The following is a 14168-nucleotide window of genomic DNA, read 5'->3' on the forward strand; positions in this document are numbered from 1 at the left end:
TACTGTTACATAATAACAATAGAGGAAAGAGACATAGAACAGGTTAAGCTGTAGGTAGGTTTATATCTTGGTTGTTGGAAGAAGAGGACATTTATATTAATTTGCTAGGGTTACTGTGACAAATACCACCGAATGTGTGGCTTAAACAGTAGAAACTTATTTTCTCACAATTCTGGAGACTAAAAGATCAAAGATTAATGTGTTGGCAGGGTTATTTTCTCCTGAGGCCCCTCTCCCTGGCTTGCAGATGACTGTCCTCCTGTCTTCACAAGGTCTTTTCCCCAGGTGTCTGTATCCTAATTTCTTCTTTAAAAGACACGCGTCATATTGGATTAGGGGCCACCCATCCCTTCTCATTTTATCTTAGTTATCTCCTTAAAGGCTCTATTTCCAAATACAGTCACATTCTGAGACAATGAGGGTTAGGACTTCAACAGAAGAATTTGGGGGTGTGGACACAATTCAGCCCTAACAGCATCCCTACCTGAGATTTTTATCTGTTAAGTAGAAAGAAAGGTCATTTTCTGGGAACGAGGAGGGGAGAGGAAGGGCAAAGATTTAAGAGTAGAAGCATTTTGAACATTTTATTGTAGGGGTGGTCAGGTTGACCAGAGAAATGTAATTGTATTATTCAGTGTGGATGGCCCATTGAAATTGGTGATTATGAGTTCACAGTGTGACTTTCTCCAGCAGAAATATGTGCCTAGGTGCAGGCTGGGAAGGAACTGATGGCTTTGTTTGAGTGATGCTACTAAAAGACACAGAGACAGGAGAGTAAACAGAATGGATAAAAGACAAGTAAAGAAAAAAGACGCTAATTGGTTTGAAGAAAGTTGAAGAGGCAATAGATTTGGGGATTCCAATAAGGCCAAAGAATGGTTGAATAATAGTAATTGATAATCGTAACTGATATAGGGTGATTATGGTTTGGCTCTGTGTCCTCACTCAAATTTCACCTTGAATTGTAATGTGTCAAGGGCAGGACCAGGTGGAGATAATTGAATCATGGGGGCAGTTTCCCCGTACTGTTATCATGATAGTGAGTGAGTTCTCATGAGATCTGATGGTTTTATAAAGGGCTTTCCCCTTTGCTCAGCCTGCCGCCCTATGAAGAGGTACCTTCCACCATGATTCTAAGTTTCCTGAGTCCTCCCCAGCCATGTGGAAATGTGAGTCAATTAAACCTCTTTTTTTTCATACATTACCCAGTCTCAGGTATTTCTTCACAGCAGTGTGAGAATGTACTAATACAGAGGGAGAGGGCTCATTACACGGGAGGAATGTTTAAATTGCATGGATCACATAGAGATAACAGCACAGGCTAAAGTCTGACTTTAAAAGTGGATGGTTTTGGAGATGTGAAGGTCAAGGAATGAAGACAGATCTTGAGTAGGAAACAACACTGAACTGTCAGTCTTCAGTGGGTGAAGGAGCTTGGATAGGCTGACAGTAGATGGCAACAAAGAGGAGAGGGAGGGTTGGTATAGCCAAGTGGCATGGACCCCAGAGAGGTAGTTTTTAATAAAAGGGAGCAGAACTAGTTGTCTGGAGTGATAATGGGGAGCAGGTAGGACACCAACCCCATCTCCCAACCTTGTGATGCATGATTTGAGGATAATAAATAGTCACCCCTTGAGAAGGCTAAAAGGAAAGTCATGAGTTTAGAGAAGAGCTTGGAGGCAAGGAAGTATAGGAAGCATCCAGAGAACAGATTGAATTTAGAGACATCTTCTGGTCTCCAGGATATAGAGAAATAGAAGTTGGCCAAGAGATAGAAGATCAGGCCCAGACAAGAATAAACAAAGCATTATGGAGATAATGTTATACGAAGAATGAATGTTTTGGAGTGCTTAAACTTGGGCACTATTCTTTTTACAAACTAGGATGAGAGAGCTGGTGAATAGCATTTAACAATTTCTCTCTAAGGGTGAGCAATAGGCCTGATGGAGAGATGGGAGATGCAGAAACTGCAGATCTCACATTGATTCTAATGCCTCTTTTCCATTAATTCTTTCAACAAATAATGTGTAAGATCTAATGATGCCAGGTCCAGTGCCAGGGACTGGGGATGTAAAGATGAATGGTGTGGAGTTTGTCCTTGAAAAGGTCTCTGTCTAATAAGGAGATACCTAACTACAACACTGTAATAAATGACAACTTAGAAGTATTTGTAAGGTAAAATGTGGGCACAGAGACAGGAGTCCGATGAGACATGGTCTACAAGTTGTATATTCACTCATCTTCTGAAAGGTCCCCAACATCCACATAGAAGGGGCCTCCACTTTCTTTTCCAGGAAGATTCACCCAGAATGTTAACATGCTGTCCTTAGTCATCATGGCATTGACATAACTGCAGTGGCTAATCCATAGTTTCTGCTAATCAGACTAAAATATTTCGGCTTCCAACACTTTCTCTCTCTCAACCAGGAAATTTACAACTGAAAATGAATTCCATTCCTTACCATCTTGACTTCTTCTTTTCATCTTACTGTAACCCCATGTGTCTCAAACTCAAGATGCCTCAAAATCACCTGAAGGGCTCTTGTTCACCACAGTTGGCAGGGTCTTACCACCAAAGGTTCTGATTCATAGGTCTGGATGGCACCTGAGATCTTTCCATTTCTCGCAAGTTTCTGGGTGTATTAGGCCACTCTGATGTTGTATAAAGAAATACCTGAGGCTGGGTAATTTACAAAGAAAAGAGGTTTAATTGGCTCGTGGTTCTGCAGGGTGTATAGAAAGCATGGTGCCAGCATCTGTGTCTGGTGAGGGTCTCAGGAAGCTTATAGTCATGATGGAAGGCAGAGGAGGAGCAGGTGAGTCACAGGTGACAGTGGGAGCAAGAGAGAGCAGGGAGGTGACATGCAGTTTTAAACAACCAAATCTCGGGTGAACTTGCAGCCAGAACTCACTTATCACGAAGGGGATGGTGCTAAGCCATTCATGAGCGCTCTACCCCCATGACCCAAACACTTCACACTAAGTCCCACCCCAATACTGGGGATTACATTTCCACATGAGATTTTTAGGGGACAAATATCCAAACGGTATCACCAGATGATGCTGAGGCTCATGGACCAGAGTCCATACTTTGAGAACCACTGCTGTCAACAGATTGGTAATGCTTTTCCACAGTAGACCTGACTTTTCAACTTCAAATGTCCTCTAAATGTATCCGTTATTATAACTAGTTAAGGGAGAATCTGAGGAAGAAAACAATTCCTGAGCTTTTATTTTGCTTTCATTGCCCCAGTGGTTATAACCTGGTCTATTTAACCATTCCCTGTAGTCTTCTAGCAATGACCAGTTTGAGGAGAACGTGGTCTTTGAAATGAGTCTTGAAGGATAAATAGGAGTTCAGCAAAACAACAAGAGACACGGAAGGAGCGGGAAGAAGCTTGAGTGAAGAGCTTGGTTGGGTGAGCTGGAAGGGCATGGGCTTCCGAGGACAGCTATCAGTTCTCCATGAACCGAGAGCAGCGGGTAGGGTGAGTGGAGGAAATGCCCTGGATAGCTTTGTGCAAAGAACATAGGGCTGGATTTTAAAGAATTTTGAATGTCATATGACAGATAATTTTTTAAAATGGAAGTAACTTTTTAAAATAATATGTCATACTATTTTTTTTTTTTTGAGACCGAGTTTCGCTCTTGTTGCCTGGGCTGGGGTGCAATGGTGTGATCTCGGCTCACTGCAACCTCCGCCTCCTGGATTCAAGCAATTCTCCTGTCTCAGCCTCCCAAGTAGCTGGGATTATAGGCATGTGCCACCACGCCTGGCTAATTTTTTGTATTTAGTAGAAATGGGGTTTCACCATGTTAGTCAGGCTGGTCTTGAACTCCTGACCTCAGGTGATCCACCCACCTCAGCTTCCCAAAGTGCTGGGATTACAGGTAGGCGCCACCTTGCCTGGCCACGAAATTTTTTTTAAACACTAGAAAAAGGTAAAAGTAAAAGGGCCTGAAAAAGGGCATTCCCAGCCCTCACTTTTTTGGTGAATTAAAATCAAGTGAAAAATAAACGCAGGAGTCAGATAAAGTGACTTAGAAATATCAGCTTTATTACTGCTGAAACCTATATTAGAGTAAGGGGATTTTCTTGTTGGGCAGCCAGGTGGCCTTTCTAATGCTATACTCCAGGCTTAAACTCACCCTTTAGTCATGGCCCATGCTGGACAACTCCAGCTTCCCCTGTGGGGATGAGTTAGACCCCCTTTCTACTAGCATGGGACCAGGGTGAAGCAAGCCAGGCACTAAGGTGAGAATTTAAGGAGGGCTGAATAAGGGCAGGGCTGGCCTATAGCTGTTTGATTTGCACATTAGAGGCAAGAGGAAGGCACTGAACCAAGATTTCTAATTCTTTCTCCCAACCTCACTGTGACAAAGGGAAGAGGAGTGTGGATAGGAGAAGAGTCGTAGTGTTCACATGGCAGAAGTCCTCTCCCCAGAAACATTAGGATGAGAAAATGTTTCTGATAATAACTGCTCTTAATATTTTTGTGTATTTCCTATCCATACTTTATTAGGTATGTTTTTACATACATAGTATAGACACTGCTCTATAGTGCTTCTCTTTTGTTTACTTTATGGCATCCCTTAACCCACTTTAGTACATAATGACTGTCTTAGCTTGGATTGCTGTAACAAAGGACCATAGACTGAGTGACTTTATAATCAACAAGAATTTATTTCTGACAGTTCTGGAGGCTGGAAGTCCGAGATCAGGGTGCCAGCAAGGTTGGGTTCCGGTGAGGACTTTCTTTTGGGTGGCAGACTGCCACCTTCTGGTAACCTCACACGGTGGAAAGAAGGTGACAGAGCTTTCTGGGGTCCCTTTTTTTTTTTTTTTTTTTTGAGATGGAATCTCACTCTGTCACTCAGGCTGGAGTGTAGTGGCATGATCTCGACTCACTGCAACCTCCGCCTCCCAGGTTCAAGTGATTCTCCTGCCTCAGCCTCCCGAGTAGCTGGGATTACAGGCACGTGCCACCACGCCCACCTAATTTTTTGTATTTTTAGTAGAGCTGGGGTTTCACTGTGTTAGCTTGGATGGTCTTGATCTCCTGATTTCATGATCCACATGCCTCGGCCTTCCAAAGTGTTGGGATTACAGGTGTGAGCCACCGCGCCCAGCCCTGGGGTCCCTTTTATAATGGCAATAATCCCACTCATTAGGGCACCATCTTCATGACCTATTACCTCCCAAAGGCCTCACCTCCTATTGGCATCACATTGGGGGTTAGCATTTTAATATGCAAATTTTGGGGGGACATTCAGTTCATTCAGACCAACCTTTTTAATGGTTAGAGGGTAGTTTGTCATATGGTTTTATCATAATTTATTTAATTAAATCTATTGGTGGGTAATTGTTTCCATTGTTTAATCAATATCAGTAATAAGTGAAGAACAACCTTTTGGTTAGGAGTGTGAATTATGGAACCCTACTGCCTTGAATCAACCCCTGACTCTGCTACTTAGTAGCTTACCCTTTTGTGCCTTAGTTTTTTCAACTTTATGATGAAAATATTATTAGGTATCTCACAGGGCTGGTGTGAAGATTAAAAGAGTTAATAACATGTACAAAGTTTAGAAATGCCTGGCCCAGATCAAGCATTCAACCAATGTTAGCAGCACACAACAACAATTGAAATGAGTAGACCAAAGAGTGAGCAAATTTTTAAGGTCCTTGTTGTATATTATGAAAAACTCATGGAGAACAGTTTTATTTAATATGCATAGTAGGACACCACTTTTCAAACATTTTCACTGAAGTTTCCAGATGATGGGAAAGACTAAACATATGCTTCCAAAGAAGATGGAGAGACAGTGATCCTTAAGCCTGCCGCAAAATTTTTTTGAAGTCTCAACTTTTATAAAAATTAATGAGAATATGCATTCTGTTCCTTAGGAATTTGTGTCTATTTTGATTTTTAAAAATTTCAAGTGAATCACAAAGCAAATAAATTGCAAGCTGTTCTCTAAAATTTTCTATTAAAACTGACCCTCTAGAAAGATGTGCCACATTTAACGATGGTTCCAAGTCCCTCTTGGCCCACTACTGTGTACCCCAGTGTGTGGCAATGGAAACTGTGGTTTTTGAACCTTGGAGCAACTTAATCAAATAGATGTTTATAAATATTAATTTGTGTATAAGATGGACTTCAGAGTACAGACTTTACAAATGGGTTCCTCTCCTCCAGCTTTGTAGGGCTGGAAAGTCAATACATGTGCATGCATGCATATGTGTGTATTTGCTTAAATTGTCAGTTTAGTGATTCTATCTCATTTACTCCTCACTCCATATACTTGGTTCACCCATTCTTGCTTAATTTCTCATAGTTAAATCCTGAATTAAATAACTTTTAAAAAAATATGTGGTAATATACAAATTTGGGGTTTAGGGGATCCAATGAGCAGTTGTCATCAAGAGCCTGCTGGATTAGGTAAGCAGCCTCCTTACAGAATGGTAGTTAAGCTGTTTATTACACTTACACAACTCACAGTTGAATTCCACTAAGATTATGTCCAAAGTGAAGACATGTTTGTATACTGGAGTGTCCAAGAAAAGATGAAACATTCAGAAATTCAGGCTGATGGGAGCAAATAGAACAAAAGAGATAAAATGTCAGGGAAGAAAAGATAATATACTACAGGTAGAAGCCAGAGAGAAGATTTTGGCAAGACTCGCTTCAAAATGGATTACCCTAGTGCTGATTTCTTCAGTATCAAGTTAGCAGAGAGGGGTAGGATCAGTGGTTCAGGGATGTTTATGGTGATAACATGATCTAGATCTTTATTGGTATACTACATCCATTTATAATTTTTATTTAAGTTTACTCTATTTGAAATGGCAAAAAGCCACATTTGAGTTATTTCCTGCCTTTGTTTTGCTTTTTTTTTTTGCCACCTACCTTCAAATTATTGGTGCAGTAAAGATTCACAAATTTATATTTACAGTTCTCTTTTAAAATTTATGAGCAGACATTGCAGCTGTTGGCTTCTCTTTCAAGCCATCTAAACTAGGGCCTGATAAAAGGATTTCTTATATCCCTGTGAACTGATAAATTAATTCTTACCCACCAGTGAGTGCTCTAGAAGAACTAGTATATAATAGGTACTGATGAAACATTTTCTAAAATAAATAAATCAGTTCTTATTTTATATTAGAGAAAAATAAAATTCCATTGTAAGTGTTTCTACTTCCATGATGAGTCTATGTATATATGAATGCTTTTTTTGGCTGAATTTTAACCCTAAGTAATTTAAAATAATTCAAGTTTAGTCATTAATGCAATAGCCATTACAATTATATCTAGAAGTAAAAATTTACAAAATACGTGTATTTCCAGAGCTTAAGCCTGAAGTATCTCCTTTTTAGTCCCTCAGCACTTTTAGGAACTACTTCCCATTTTCTTATTTGATCTGTTTCCATTAATACCATATTCTTGGTAAATTAAGTTCACCTAGAATGATCAAAGCTTGATCACTAGTTGGTCTACTGTATAATATGCCTTTGAGTGATTATTGAATAATTACTTCCATAGAAACACAAAATAATTAAATACATCTGTGTTCTATTAAAAGTTCACAAGTTGTATGCCCTTCTTCCTGATATTAGTAAATAATATGATCAATAAGATTGTCTCTTAAACAGGAAAAAATACTTTGGACTCTAAATGACTAATAAATTAAGTTTAAACAACTTTGGTAGCACTGGGATTTCAGGCAGAAAAAACATAAAAACTTAATAGTTATTTCATTGAGAAAATAAATAATTTTTAATTAATTTTAGCACCAATAGTAAGGATCAAAGAAAATACAGATTTCAAAATATAATGGATTACTATTGAGATTAAATAAATATTTACTTAGTACCATGTGACATACTTTCGTACAAATTGACTTATTTTAGCTATAAAACAACTCATGATGACTAAATATTGGTTTTGAGGTGAAAGTGCGCCTCTACAACAGCCAGCTATTTGGTTGTTTGCAAAACTTGATTGTTTGCAACCCTTGGTTCCACTCATGATTGTAATTATGTTTTTACCTAGAACACTGAAAGATGCAATTTAAGGAATTGCTATTTAGGACCTCATGGAAACCACAAATTCTAAAGGGTTTAGGTTTAATGAAACTAAGAGTGTCAGTACCATGGGAAGATTAAAGAGACAGTTCAGAGCTAGTCTGTGGGATGTGTATATGTTGGGCCAAATAACTGGATCTTTAAATTGACAGGACTCCACTGAAGGTATTTTAGACAGAGAATACCATAACTGTCTTATGGCAGTGTTTCCCAAAATGTGTTCCACTGCAAGCTAGTACATATTACTTTGTAAAATAGTTACATGATCAGTGATGTCTTGGAAATTGTGTTAAATAGGTGGTTTTTTGTTTGTTTAATGCAGAAATTCTGTATTCTTATAATCTAGTGTTGTAACTGTCTAAGAATGGGCTATAGTATGAAACCTTTCCCAAGCTTACTTGTCTGTGAAACATGGTTTTCTTGAATTTGCTACTTGCATCCAGGAACACATTTTGGCAAACACTGTATTATTGAGGTGTTATATAGGAAGGATGAATGAGTTGACCAGAGTTGAAAGAATGGAGACTGGGAGGGGTGAGATCAATGAGATGCCTGCTCTAATAGTTCAGGACAAGAGAATGAGAGTTAGAAAGTGGGTGTTGGCAATGGGAATGGAAAGGAAGAAGACATAATTAGACTTGTCATCTAACTGTGCATGGACTGGAGAAAGTTAAACAGGCAGATAGGATTAAGAAGAAGAAGACGAGTTGGATAGAAAAAAATGAATTGGTTGGAGGAAAGTTGGGCTTGTGGCAGCAGAGAAGAGATGTTTATTTAGCTATTGGAAATAGGAGTCTGGAGATTTGGAAATCACCTGCATAGCAGTGATAATTGAAAGTAGTGGAGTATATGAGATCATTTGGGGAAAAAGGAGAGAAGATCTTTGAAAGCTCACCCAGATCTGTAATATATGTGGAACATCTATGCATGGAGAGAAATTCTCATAAATTTGGTGCTGAGTTTCATGCCCAGTGTCTTAATCCTAAAAATGGATTAAGCAAACTATGCTTCAACATTGAAATACTACTTAAACAGCTGATCAATCAAATCATAATTTACATAAATCAAATTATTTAAACATTTAAATGTTCATTTAACTTTCCTAAACATTTCAATATCATCAATCTAACATATCAGCTTCTTTCACATGCTTCAAGCATTTAAAAACTGGTAAATATTAATACTACTTATTTCTATGAATATAAAACTTATTTTTTACATTCAAAAGCATTGATTCTGTGGATTTAATTCATTTCTTCGTAGTTGTATTTTTTCCCTAGGGTTATAGTAATACTTATTTTATGTTTTCCTGGGGCTACATTCTATTGCCAGACACTAAACGAAAATAATATTGCCTCACACTAGCCATGGTTTCAGCTTACTGATTATTAGACCAATTGATTCTTTTTTCCCTTCTTTGTTGTTGTGAAAAATTTTTTAACATAAGCAAAAGTAGAGGGAATAATATAGTAACTCCCATTACCTATCATTCAATGTCTATAATTATCAGCAGATTGCTAATCTGATTTAATCTACACCTCTTCACCTATCCACTGGCTGGTTATTTTCTTTTTTTACAGCTTTATTGGGATATAGTTTTCATACCACAAAACTTACCCACTGAATTTTTATATAATTCAAACTTTTTGGAAAGTGTATAGAATTGTGCAACCATTACTATAATCCAGTTTAAAAATATTTCAGCACCCCAAAAGATTCAACCAATAAACAGTATGAGACAAACAAGAACATTTGACCCATATATATGAAATAAGCATTCAGTGGAAATTGTCTCTGAGTGGACATTGAAGACAAAGGCTTTAAAGCACCCATTGTCCATATTTTCAAAGAATTAAAGGAAAATATATTTCTAGAATTGAGGGAAAGTATGACAATGATGCAATACATTGAGAATCTCAATAAAGATAAATAATGAAAAAAAAGCCAAATCAAAAGTTTGGAGTTAAAAAATACAATAACTGGCCAGGCGCAGTGGCTCATGCCTGTAATCCCAGCACTTTGGGAGGCCAAGGCAGGCGGATCACGAGGTCAGGAGATAGATCAAGAACATCCTGGCTAACATGGTGAAATCCCATCTCTACTAAAACTACAAAAAATTAGCCGGGCATGATGGCGGGTTCCTGTAGTCCCAGCTACTTGGGAGGCTGAGGCAGGAGAATAGCGTGAACCCGGAAGGAGGAGCTTGCAGTGAGCCGAGATTGCACCACTGAACTCCAGCCTGGGGGACAGAGCGAGACTCCATCTAAAAAAAAAAACCAAAAAACAAACAAACAAAAAAACACAATAACTAAAATGAAAAATTCCCTAGAGGGCCTCAATAGCAGATTTCAGATGGCAGGAAAAAAGAATCAGTGAACTTTTAGTTAGATCAGTAAAAATTATTCAATATGAAGAACAGAGAAAAAAGAAGAGTAAAGAGAAATAAATAGAGCCTTGGAAACCTATGAAAAAACAATTAAAGAAATAATAGCTGAAAGTATTCAGCACTCTGAATATATCACTTCAGGGATTTTGAGACATACCTTTCACTGCCTTCTGGAATCCATTTTTTATGATAATAAATTAGCTTCTAATTGTATTTCTTTCCCTTTTATGAATAGATTTGTTGCTTTTCTCTTTATTATTCTCTCTGAATAATTTGACTAGGATGTTGTCTAGGTGTGTATCTCTTTGTCTTTATCTTGTTTATATTTAGCTTCTTGGATATATAGACTAATCTTAAAAAATAAAATTTGGAAAGAATCGGTATTGGATTTTGTCGAATGCTTTTTTTGATTTATTGATAGGGTCATGTAATTTTTCTCCTTTAACCTGTTGATGTGATGGATTATGTTAATTGATCTTTGAATGTTGAACCAGCCTCACCAACCTGAAATAAATTCTACTTGGTCATGGTGTATATTTCTCATTATACATTGTTGGATCCAATTTGCTAGTATTTTGTTGAGGATGTTTGCATCTTACATTCCTGAGAAATTTTGGTCTATAGTTTTCTTTTCTTGTAATGTCTTTGTCTGCTTTTGGTATTTGGGTCATGATGGCCTCATAGAACGAGTTATGAAGTATTCACTCTGCTTCTGTCTTCTAAAAGAGATTGTAGAGAATTGGTATAGTTTCTTCCTTAAAGGTTTGGTGGAATTCACCAGTGAACCTATGTGAGCCTAGTGCTTTTTGAGCCTAATGCTTTTTGTGAGCCTAGTGCTTTTTGTTTTGGAGGGTTATTAATTATTGATTCAATTTCTTTAACAGATATAGACCTATTCAGATGGTCTGTCTCTTCTTGTGTGAGTTTTTGGATATTGTGTCTTTCAAAGTATTAGTATTAATACACTTTAAGTTTTCAAATTTATGGGCTTGCTCGTAGTAGTTCATTATTATTATTTTTAATGCCCATGGGATCTGTAGTAATGTTTCCTCTTTTACCTATGGTATGAGTAATTTGTGTCCTCTCTTTTCTTAGTTGACCTGGCTAGAGGCTTATTGATTGTACTCATCTTCTCAAAGAACCAGCTTTTGTTTTCAGTAATTTTCTCTTGACTTCCTGTTTTTAATTTTATTGATTTCTGATCTAATTTTTATTATTTCATTCTTTCTGTTTACTGTAGATTTAATTTGCTCTTCTTTGCTAGTTTCCAAAGTAGAAGTTTATATTATTGATTTTAGAGTGTACCCTTTTCTAATCATGCATTTAATATCATAAATTTCCCATTAAGCACTGCTTTTGCTGCATCCCACAAATTTTGATAAATTGTTTTCATTTGCATTTAGTTCAAAATACTTTTAATTTCTCTTGAGATTTCTTCTTTGATTCATGTGCTATGTAGATGTTTGTTGTTCAATTGCCATGTGTTTCTGAATTTTCCAGTTATCTTTCTCTTATTGATTTTTAGTTCAATTCTATTGTGGCCTAAACTTAGACATTGTATGATTTCTCTTCTTTTAAATTTGTTAAGGCATATTGTATAACCCAGAATGTGGCCCATCTTTGTGAATATTCTATGTGAGCTTGAGAAAAATGTGTATTTTGCTGTTGTTACAATGGAAGAGTATATAGATATCAATTATATTTTGTTGATTATGTTTTGAGGTCAACTATGTCCTTACTGAATTTCTGCTTGCTGGATCTGTCCATTTCTGATAGAGGACTATTGAAGCCTTTAATTGTAATAGTGGATTTACCTATTTCTCCATGCAGTTCTACAAGTTTTTGCTTTACATATTTTGATGCCCTGTAGTTAGGCACATACCTGTTGAGGATTGTTATGTCGTCCTGAAGAATTGACCACTTTATTATTATGTAATGCCCCTCTTCCTCCCTGATAACTCTCCTTGCTCTGAAGTCAGCTTTGTCTGAAATATAGCTACTCTTTCTATTGATTAATGTTAGTATTGTATATATTTCTCCATCCATTTATTTTTAATCTACATGTGTCTTTATATTTAAAGTGGGATTCTTGTATTATTTTATTCTTTTATTTATTTTATTATTCTATTTATTCTGACAATCTTTGTCTTTTAATTGGTATATTTAGATCATTGATATTTAAAGTGATTGTTGATGTAGTTGGATCGATCTCTACCATAGTTGTTACTGCTTTCTGTTTGCTGCCCTTGTTCTTTGTTCCTATTTCTGTCTTTCACTTTTTTCTGCCTTTTGAGAGCAATTTATATTATTTCATTTTCCCTTCTCTTTTAACATATCAGTTATACTTCTTCTTAAACAATTTTTGATAGTTATCCTGGATATTGCAATATGTATTTACAATTGATCCATGCCCACTTTCAAATGATACTATAACACTTCACCGGTAGTCAGAGTACCTTATGATAACCATTCTAATTTATTCCTCCTGTTCATATCACTACTGCATTTATTTCACACATAAGGAAGCATATACATGCATACATAATTGAACATATTTTTGCTATGATTATTTCGAACAAACTGCTCCTATGTCAATTAAGAATAAGAAAAATAAAAGCTTTTACTTAACTTTCATTTATTTATTCACAGATACTCTTCTTTATGTAGATCTGAGTGTCTGACCTATATAATTTTCTTTCTAAATAACTTTTTTTTTTTTTGAGACAGAGTCTTGCTCTGTTGCCCAAGCTGAAGTGCAATGGTGCGATCTCAGCTCACTGCAACCTCCGCCTCCCAGGTTCATGCCATTCTCCTGCCTCAGCCTCCCGAGTAGCTGGGACTACAGGTCCCCACCACCATGCTGGCTCATTTTTTTCTATTTTTTAGTAGAGACGGGGTTTCACCATGTTAGCCAGGATGGCCTCGATCTCCTGACCTCATGATCCGCCTGCCTCGGCCTCCAAAAGTGCTGGGATTACAGGAGTGAGCCACCATGCCCGGCCTTCTAAATAACTTTTTATCATTTCTTGCAAGGTGAATGTACTGGCAACAAATTCTTTCAATTTCTGTTTGCCTGAGAGAGTCTTTATTTTTTTCTTCTTTTTGAAGGATAATTTCACAGTGTACAAAATTCTAGGAAGATGGCTTCTTTTCCTCTCAACACTTTAAATATTTAATCCTACTCTCTTCTTGCTCGCATGGTTTCTGAAGAGAAGTGAGAGGTAACTGTTATCTTTACTCCTATATAGGTAAGCTATATTTTTCCTCTAGGCATAGGGTTTTTTTTTTTTTCTGTTTTGTTTTTGTTTTCATTTCTCTTGCTTGGTGCTCTCTGAGCTTCCTGAATGTGTAGTTTGGTGCCCGACACTGGTTTACGGAAAATCTTGTCTTTACTGCTTCAAATATTTTTTCTGTTTCTTTCCAGTATTCTGTTCATTTTGGTATTCCCATTGTAAGTCTGTTATGCTTTTTGTAGTTGTTCCTCTGTTCTTGGGTGTTCTGTTCTGCTATTGGTTTTTTGTTTTTTTTTTTCAATCTTTTTTCTCTCTGCTTTTCTGTTTTAGAAGTTTCTATTGAGATATATTCAAGATCAGAGGTTCTTTTCTCAGCTGTGTCCATTCTACTAATGAGCTCATCAAAGGAATTCTTCTTTTCTGATACAGTATTTTTTATGTATAAGATTTCTTTTTGATTCTTTCT

The sequence above is a fragment of the Homo sapiens genome, chromosome 12 (genome assembly GCF_000001405.40).
Source record: "Homo sapiens chromosome 12, GRCh38.p14 Primary Assembly".
In the NCBI taxonomy this organism is placed as follows: domain Eukaryota; kingdom Metazoa; phylum Chordata; class Mammalia; order Primates; family Hominidae; genus Homo; species Homo sapiens.